Genomic DNA, 9,578 nt, shown 5'->3' on the forward strand with positions numbered 1-9,578 from the left:
AAGGCGGAAAGCAGGAACGCTCTGCTGAGATCACATTTTACTTGCTTTATACCTAGAGAGTTTGGATTTGAAGGTATTTGTGTATCTCAGGATGGCTGGCTGAGATGCAAACTCATGTACTTACACTCCCTGTAGATCCCTTCACCCCATGACAGCAGATTTCTGCCTTCAGTTGCCCTTAATGCAGAATGGAGGCTCTCACTGGTGTCGGGATGCAGCAATAATAGGAAAGTGGAGCGACAGCTCCTGGGCCGGTGACACTCGGGGGAAGGACGGTGAAGGTGGAGGGTGGTGAGCATGAGCACTGAGCCACAGGGGCTCCTGGAGCACCGGAGGGACCCCAAGCAGTGAGGGCAACAAGGGTGAGGCCTGGCCCAAGCCTCAGATTATGCAGAGCGCTGGGTGAGCCCGAGTTCTTAGCCCAGACAGGCGCACAGTTGCGAGGTCAGGGGAAACAAGAGGACCCCCAGCTACGGCATGGGGACAACTTTTGAATCCTCTGATTCTCTGTCCCCACCCTCCATTTAAAGCTAGCACTCCCCTTGCTTGAAAACCACACGTGGACGCGCAGCCTGCAGGGCAGCGCAGCCTCCCTCAGAGTTTGGCCTCCCCTCCCCTCCTGAGCCCCCAGGGGCCCGGTACCCTGTGGGCACTGCAGGACCAGCCAGCTTGTGCTGCCAGGAGCTGGGAGAGGCCACATGGGACTGGAACTTGGGGGTGGCATATAGGAAGGTGGGAGAGGAGAATCTGTTGCCATGGGAGCTTCGGGGTATGAGGTTCATGCCCTGGCAGGCCCCAGTGCTCGGAAGGCTCCTGCAGGCTCAGGGGCGATGGCCTGGCTGAGGGAAGAAGCGCCAGAGGGTCCAGAGAAGAGGGGGCCAGAGGCTCAGAGACATGGATGTCCACAGGAGGTCACGTGTATGCTCTGCGGGGAGCCTGCTGGTGAGGGCTCCAGCGCCCCTGGGGAGCCCAGCGCTGGCCTCTTCTGCAGGCCAAAGCAGTGCCATCATAGAGCAGGGCTCACCATTTGGGGTGGGCGGGGCAGGATGTCACTGTGATAGGTACACAGAGAAAGGACACGGTTTTGCAATGGGTGGCAGCGAGGCCCTGACCCGGGGGGCACTGTGGGGAGATTTGAAAGGGGGACATGTGGCCGCAGGAGAGAGCGGGCCGCCCGCTGGGCATTGCTCAGTCTCTATGGCCACGAGAAATGAGGAGGCTGGGGGTCACCAGCAGGACACGGTCACAGTCGTGGGCCACGTTTCTGGGCCTGAGCCAGTTTTCCAGCTGGAACCCACTGTCTGAGGAGGCCTGTTCTGCAGGAGGGGAGAGGTCCCGCTTGGCTTACACCCCTAGCCTGGGCTTAGAGAACAGGGGGGCCTGGCCCAGGACAGAACCTTGGGGAGCCCCTGGGCTGAGCTGGGAGTTTGCATAGCAGCCCCATGGATGTCCGCGGAGGCCTCAAGGTCCTTCATGAGATGGCTCTGGTCAGTGGACGGGGCACATGGTGAGTACCCGGAGGGAAGGAGGCAGGGCCTCCATGGCTGGGGAGACTCAGGTTGTCTTTTCTTATCTGGGAACACCAATACCAGGGGGAGAGGAGGGCAGAGCCTCCAGAGGGAGGCCGAATGTGAGCCAAGGGCAGTGGCTGTGATACGGACTGCAGCGGGTTGCTGCCTCAGGCCTGGGGGACACATGGAGAGGAGTCCATGGGGTGATGACCAGTTCTGAGGAAAAAGACCCAGTGAATAGAGGGACCCACTGTCCCAGTGTGCCGAGACCGAGGAAGTGCCTGAGACATGGGAATGTTCGTCCTCAAGCCAGGAAAGTCCTGGGTAAGACAGGCCCAGTGGGTCACCTAGTTGGGGAAGAGGGGGACATGGAGGTGAGGAGGGACCTGAGGAGGTGAGGAGGGATCTGAGGAAGTGAGGGGAGATCTGGGGAGCTGAGGGGGGATGTGGGGAGGTGAGGAGAGATCTGAGGAGGTCAGGAAAGATCTGAGGAGGTTAGGAGGGATCTTAGGACGTGAGGAGAGATCAGGGGAGCTGAGGGGGGATCTGAGGAGGTGAGGAGAAATCTTAGGAGGTGAGGGGGAATCTGAGGAGGTGAGGGGGATCTGAGGAGGTGAGGGGGGATCTTAGGAGGTTTGGGAAGATCTGGGGAGGTGAGGGTGAATTTGAGGAGGAGAGGGTGGATCTGAGGAGATGGGGGGGATCTGAGGAGGTGAGGGGGGATCTGGGGAGGTGAGGGTGAATTTGAGGAGGAGAGGGTGGATCTGAGGGGGTGAGGGGGTATCTGAGGAGGTGAGGGGGGATCTGAGGAGGTGAGGGGGGATCTGAGGAGGTGAGGGGGGATCTGGGGAGGTGAGGGTGAATTTGAGGAGGAGAGGGTGGATCTGAGGAGGTGAGGAGGGATCTGAGGAGGTGAGGGGGGATCTTAGGAGGTTTGGGAAGATCTGGGGAGGTGAGGGTGATTTTGAGGAGATGACAGGGGAACTGGCGAGGTGAAGGGAGATAGTGAGGCTCAGCTTGACTGTGGCTGCTTCCAGATCTTTTTAAGCTGGGTGTAATTGCTCATGACTGTAATCCCAGCACTTTGGGAGGCCAAGGTGAGTGAATCACTTGAGCCCAGGAGTTTGAGAGCAGTCTGGACAACATAACGAGATCCCGTCTCTACAAAAAACAAACAAAAATTAGCTGGGTGTGGTCCCAGCTCCTCAGGAGGCTGAGGTGGGAGGATGGCTTGAGTCTGGGAGGTTGGGGCTGCAGTGAGCTGTGATTGCACCACTGCACTCCAGCCTGGGAGACACAGTGAGACCCTGTCTCAAAAAAACCGCCAAACCCAGCAATAAAACCAAGTCTTTTTTGTTTTGTTTTGTTTTGTTTTTGAGCCAGAGTCTTGTTCTGTTGCCCAGGCAGGAGGGCAGTGGCGCAATCTCGGCTCACTGCAACCTCTGCCTCCCGGGTTCAAGTGATTCTCCTGCCTCAGCCTCTCAAGTAGCTGGGATTACAGGCACCCGCCACCACGCCCGGCTAATTTTTGTATTTTTATTAGAGACGGGGTTTCACTGTGTTGCCCAGGCTGGTCTGGAACTCCTGAGCTCAGGCAGTCCCCCCACCTCGGCCTCCCGAAGTGCTAAGAGAGCCACCGCGCCCGGCCCCAAATCTTTTTTTTTTTTCAAAAATCAGTTAAGTGGTGGTAAAATACACTTAACATGAAATTGCCCTCATCCTTTACCCTCACAGCCTGCACAGCACACACGGTGCCCGCACAGCACACACAGCACACACGGTGCCCGCACAGCCCACACAGCACACACGGTGCCCGCACAGCCCACACGGTGCCCTCACAGCCCGCACGGTGCCCACACAGCACACACAGCACACACGGTGCCCTCACAGCCCGCACGGTGCCCGCACAGCACACACAGCACGGTGCCCACACAGCCCGCACAGTGCCCACACAGCACACACAGCACACATGGTGCCCACACAGCCCGCACGGTGCCTGCACAGCACACACAGCCCGCACGGTGCCCTCACAGCCCGCACGGTGCCCGCACAGCACACACGGTGCGGTGGTGCCAGGTGTCCTCTTGCTGCTGTGCAGTGCCCTGAGGTCCCTTGGGAAGCCGCTGCCACTCTGTTTTGTCATCACTGACAAACTGTCGCAGGCTGCTGGTGGCTGTGGCCGGTTGCTAATGATTGCAGGGAAGAAACACCTGACCACCTCTGATTTCTTCAAACTCTGCACAGTTAACCTGTTTCCAATAGAGAACTGAGAATTACCATTCATTCCTAATGCTTAATCAGGGTTTAATGCATGGAAGATCTTACTGTTAACCTCCCACGAGGACGCGCTCATCTCAGTCGCCTTTTAAGAGGGCTTCTTGAAAGTCAAAATAATTCCCACTGGTTATTTTTAATGCTCTTATTGTATGAATTGCACAAAAATATTCAGCAGATGAATGCAGTTTTTTTTTCTTTAAGCTCCAGAAGATCGGCTCAAGAAAGGCCCGCCTGCCCCTCCCGCCTCCACCTGCCCCTCCCGCCTCCACCTGCCCCTCCCGCCTCCACCTGCCCCTCCCGCCTCCACCTGCCCCTGTCCATTCTCACCAGCCCTGGTTGCCCTCCGTCCATCCCTGCCCACCTTCTCTACACTGCCCGCCCGCCCCCGCCCGCCCCCGCCCGCCCCCGCCCGATCCCGCCGGCCCTGGCTGCCAGGATGGGCGTTCTTAGGCTCTGCCTACCCCAGGCCCTTGCCAGCCCTGACAGTGCTGGGGAGGGTGACAGGGACCAGCATGCCTGTAGCCAGGCATCTTCACAGCTGATGGCCCTGGTCTCACAGACCATGCCCCTGCCTCAGGTTCCCCGAGGACTTCCCCTGGGCCTGGGCCTGGGCCCCTGCCTTGCTGCTGGCACCCTGATAAAATTCTGTGTCATAAACACAAAGTGTTTATGAAGGCAGCATACAAGGGCACTTGTTGTGAACACAAACTTGGGATATTTTTCTGTTTCTTGTGGAGGTTCACTACTCAGTGTGCAATGAGATTTATCTCATGCGTTTGTCCTCATTTTCCTGCAAAGATAATTGCGTGTGATGTTCTCTGGCATGCCGTGTTTCCCTTTCTGTGTTCCTTGACTTTGAAAATGCGAAGGTTTTATAAATAAGTACAATAAAGCTGATTCTGTATAGAATGAAACCAAAGCCTCTCTTTCTAATTGCATCTGTTGATCTTGTGCACATCTTCATTAGGGGTTTTAGGATATTGGAAAGATGCATCAAAGTTAGCAATTAGAGTCTCCTCATCAAATATGGGTTGCTTGGCCTTTCTTTGTCAACAGCTGAGGGTCTGGATGCTTCCAGCAGACAAATCCAGGTGCTGACCCTGCCTCCTCCGGGCACTCAGGTGCGACACGTGTCTGCTTTTCAGGGTGCACTGATTTAGTCTGGGGCCATTTCACGGCCTGGGTGTTCTGGGACCCAAGCTAGCAGTTCGTGTGCACTTTAGTGTCACAGCAAAACGGAGGGTGACTAGGACTCCCGGTTTGCAGACAGGAAATGAAGATTCAGAGAGGTAAGGACAGGTACGATGGCATGTAGCAGGGATTAGAGCCCAGGTCTGCTGATCTGAGCCCCAGGTGCTGATGGCTTTCCCTTACAGCACAGGCCTCCCTGAGGGTGATGGGGGGAGTGGGTGAGGCAGAGCATCGTGCTGGTCCCAAGAACAATGTGGGTGTTTGTAACATGAGTTTGGTTTGCAGTGGACTCTAGGTGCTTCTTACCTGAGGTCTCCCTGGGTTCTCACGGCAGCCTGAGTGCATTCTCCCTCTTTCCTGGTGGGGACTCATGCTCCGCCGGTCAGTGGTCCCTGGCCACCCTGCTGGTCCGTGGAGGAGCTGGGTCTTGCACTGGCCTTCTTCCACCAGGGCCTGTGGAGCCCCTCAGCCGGGCCCAGCCAGGGATGGACTTAGGAGAGGGAAGAAAGAGTGGGGAGGAGACCCGAATGGGGAGGATGGAAGAGGACAGAGGACAGAGAGAGAATTCAAAATCTCCGTCCCTGCCTCACCAAGCTTCTGAATGTGGGCATGTGGCTTTAAGAGCTGAGAGTGAGGAGTTAGAAAAACTGTAAAGAGAAAGACACTTAAGTAACAGTTTATTGGTCTAATTGAGGAAAGAATTATGGAAATTTATTTTCCAAAGGAATGGGGGTATTTAATTAGACACTGATAAACAGGTTCACTTGAGTCTGATTCAGAACTTCGAGGGCCTCTATTTTCCTCTTGCCGCTGCCATGGTGAGTGGCGTTAGTTCATTTTGTCTGCTCCATTGTTCTCATTCTGATAATTAACTCAGCAAGCCGGATGCGGCGTCTATACACACGTCAGGAATCTTCGGTGCAGAGCAGCATTTGTGTTCACCTGAGAAGGCGCCTGGGCTGGGATGTGCTTGGAGAGGCGGTTATGAAAGGAGCGGGTGGAAGGACCACCTGCTGAGGCCAGGGTGGGGTCCTCCCTACGCCTTCCTGCAGGGAGGGGCCAGGGTTCTCCATTCTGCCCAGGGGGGTCCTCGTCGGAGGCTGGTGTCTGCGTTACATCAGGGTAGGCGGGCTATTGTGGCGATGTTTAAGACGAGAGGAACTGTCAGATGTAACATGCCTGGCCTTAGCATGCTGGGGCCACAGTCATGAGAGACGGGGAACGTCGCTTAGCTCCGCTCTCTGTGAGGCCTGGGGTCTGCTACGGGGGAGTGGGGCTTCAGGTTCATGTCACTAAATGGCAGTGACGTTTCATGAGGTCCCAACACCTGCCGCCCCCATCTCTTCCTCAGCAATAAGGCGCCAACTGAACGACAGCATTGAACCCTATGCTGGCTATTGAAACACTTCCGTGGGCGACGGCCTCCTGTAGGTTTAATTCTCATTTACTCCTCAGGACAACCTTGGGAGGTGCTCTTCGTCATGTTTGGGAGACAACTGAGAAGTAAAGGATCTGAGAATGTTGATCAAAGTCATACAACCAAGGTGCATATTCAAGAACAGCAGGATATTCAAATGCTGAGCTTCATACAGAATGTATATCAACGTATTTGTGGAATTAATCTTAGAACATTCTATTACAGAATGTGGGTTTATCATGTGTTTGCTGTGGGGCACTGTGCTGAGTTCCGTGAGCACAGATGAGTGAGGCTGAGTCACTGGGGCCCTCAAGGCCCACGTGGGAGCTGGGCGTGTGGGTGCCCCTTGAAGGAGGAGGCCGCTGTGCTGGACGCTCCAGGCCTCTCGTGCATCCGTTAAAAGCTGTCTGCTCAAGCTCAGGTTGAAGAGGACCTTGGCAGGCAGGGAGTCCTGCGGTCACACGGTCACACAGAGCAGAGGTCGGGCATATGGGCTCCTGGTTGGATTCCCGGGATGCCAGTCCTGGCCCTGCCTGCCTTGTGCTGTGTGGCCTGGGTAAAACACTTGGCCTTTCTGTGCTTCTGCCTTTCTGTCTGCTGAAGGGGACGGTGGTTCCTGCTGTGGGGTGCGCTGTGGGATGGGCAGCAGGCACCGGCACGTGGTGCCCTCAGCTCAGGTCTGCAGATGGCAGACACCGTGCTATTAGAACTGTTATTCATCGGCATGTGGCCTTGGGGAATATGTTTTCCTTTTTCTTTATAAATTACAAAAGTAATGCATGCTCATTGAAGTTCAGACAATACAGAGGTAATTATGTGTAAAATGAACTGAAAGCTGCACACTCTGTCCTTCCTCTCTGGTCTTCTGCAGGGAAAAAGCCACTCCAGCCCTGGGCAGGCTTCATCTGGAATCGAGACTCGAGATCTTTTTTCCTATGTATTTACAAATACAAACATATACGTATAAAATGCTTGCTTTCATGTTTACAGTCACTGAAGCCACTCAGTGCTCATTATACTACCTGTCCCCCCCCACACACACACTCTCACACACTAACACACACTTGCACACATGCACTCACACACTCATGCACACACTCACACATTCATACGCACACACTCACACACACATACACTCATTCTCACTCATACTTTCACACACCCACACATACACTCTCACACACTATCTCACACACAAACACACTCACACACTCCCATACACACACTAACACACTGACACCACACACATTCACACACACCCAATCACACACAATCTCACACACTCTCACACCACACACCCACACTTCTCACACACACACTCATACACACACTCACACACCCAATCTCATACACTCTCACACTATCTCACACACCACACGCACTCACACACACCCCCACAATCTCACACACACACACTCACACTCACACGTCACACACACCAATCTCATACACCACACACACCACACCCCCACACAATCTCACACATACACACACAATCACACACACCACACACCACACACCACACCCCCACACAATTTCACTCATACACAATCTCACACACACAAAATCTCACACCACACACACCCCCCCCCCACACTATCTCACACACTCACACTTAGACACACTCTCACACACACACTCTCACCCCCACACACTATGTCACACACACTCACAGACACACACACACACACTCTCACCCCCACCATCTCACACACACACAATCTCACACACACACACACATATGGCAGCAGCATGTAGTGGACATGTTTGTGTCACTAGAGAGACATTGTCAGCATTTATGGATGTGTTCTTGCCATGGCGTGATCCACCTCGCTATGTTGAATCATCCCGTTACTTGGGTGTTAGGTGCCTGCCCCCCACCCCTCTCCTGCCCCAACTTTTCAATGAGAAGGAATGTCCTAACAGATGTTCTTGTACGTTCATCTTTAGATGGGAAGAAGATTTCTGTTCAATGAAAGCAAAAACCAACATGTTCAGCGTCTGCCCAGTGGCCTGAGACCTGGCTGGGAAGTCAGCACGTCCCATCTCTGGGATAGCCCCAATTAGGGCAGGTGGGCTGTCTCTTGGGGATGTTGTGTGTGTGTGTGGGGTTTCTGGGCTGGGGGTGCACGGCTCTTTGCACATGGAAATATTCTGGCAATGAAATTGAGAGTCTGCATAGACTTTTCAGTAGAGAAGGAAATACTTGTATTGAAAATTAAGAAAATTACAGTAAGAGAATTAAACATTAATTGACAAATGGAAATGCATCCAGAGAAAGATCTCCAAGTGGATGAAAGGTTTTAGAACCATGCTTTAGGCAGAATGGGGATGCTTCGTCCGGTAAAGGCATGGGAAACATCATCAGTTATCACCTGTTGGAAGGACTTCACGTGGAGGAGGAGCAGAAATGTTTCTGGGTGGCTTCGGAGGGTAGAGGTAAGACTAAAGACTACAACTTAGAAGAGGCTGATTTTGACTCTCAATGCCGGTGAAGCTTTTAACATGAAGATCTGTCTATTGAAGACTGGGCTGGACTTCTAAGCCCAGATGAGGGAATGGAGCCAGGAGTCATCCTCTCCCCTCTGCTCCTAACACAGGTTATAAGTAAACTGTTTTACAAAAGAAGAAATAACCATATTCAAAAGCAAGGGCAAACTGCAGGCCCAGGAGTGAGAAGGCCCATGGAGGTGAGCAGAGGCTGAAACAGTGGGTTCAAGGGACTGGGGACCAGAGTGAGTGACCAGCAAGACTTTCCAAGCCTCCAGTGCTTATTGGAGGAGCTGCTGTTAACCATGCAACCTGTGGGGCCAGGCCGAGGCAACTGCAGAGTCAGGTGAGAGGAGCAATGTCCATGTGAGACATTGCAAACAAAAATTGCAAATCACAAGACACTTACAGCCCCGAGAATCAATTGGTAGACAGTACACGTGGGAAAAGGCACACCCAAGGAAATGGAAATAATAGCACAATCTGAAAACAACTTTAAGGAGGGAGGGTTCAGAATCTCAAGGAAGACTGAGGAGGAAACTGAATCCCTGAAATGGGAATTGGGGGGTTATTCATCCAGAACAGGCCTGATTCCTGGGAAGAGGACTCTAAGATGAAGATCTGCACAGGGCATTTATTGAGAAGGCTCGGGAACGATGCCTGTGAGGGACATGGGAGCAGTCAGGGCAGAG

The sequence above is a fragment of the Homo sapiens genome, chromosome 10, assembly GCF_000001405.40.
Source record: "Homo sapiens chromosome 10, GRCh38.p14 Primary Assembly".
NCBI lineage: Eukaryota > Metazoa > Chordata > Mammalia > Primates > Hominidae > Homo > Homo sapiens.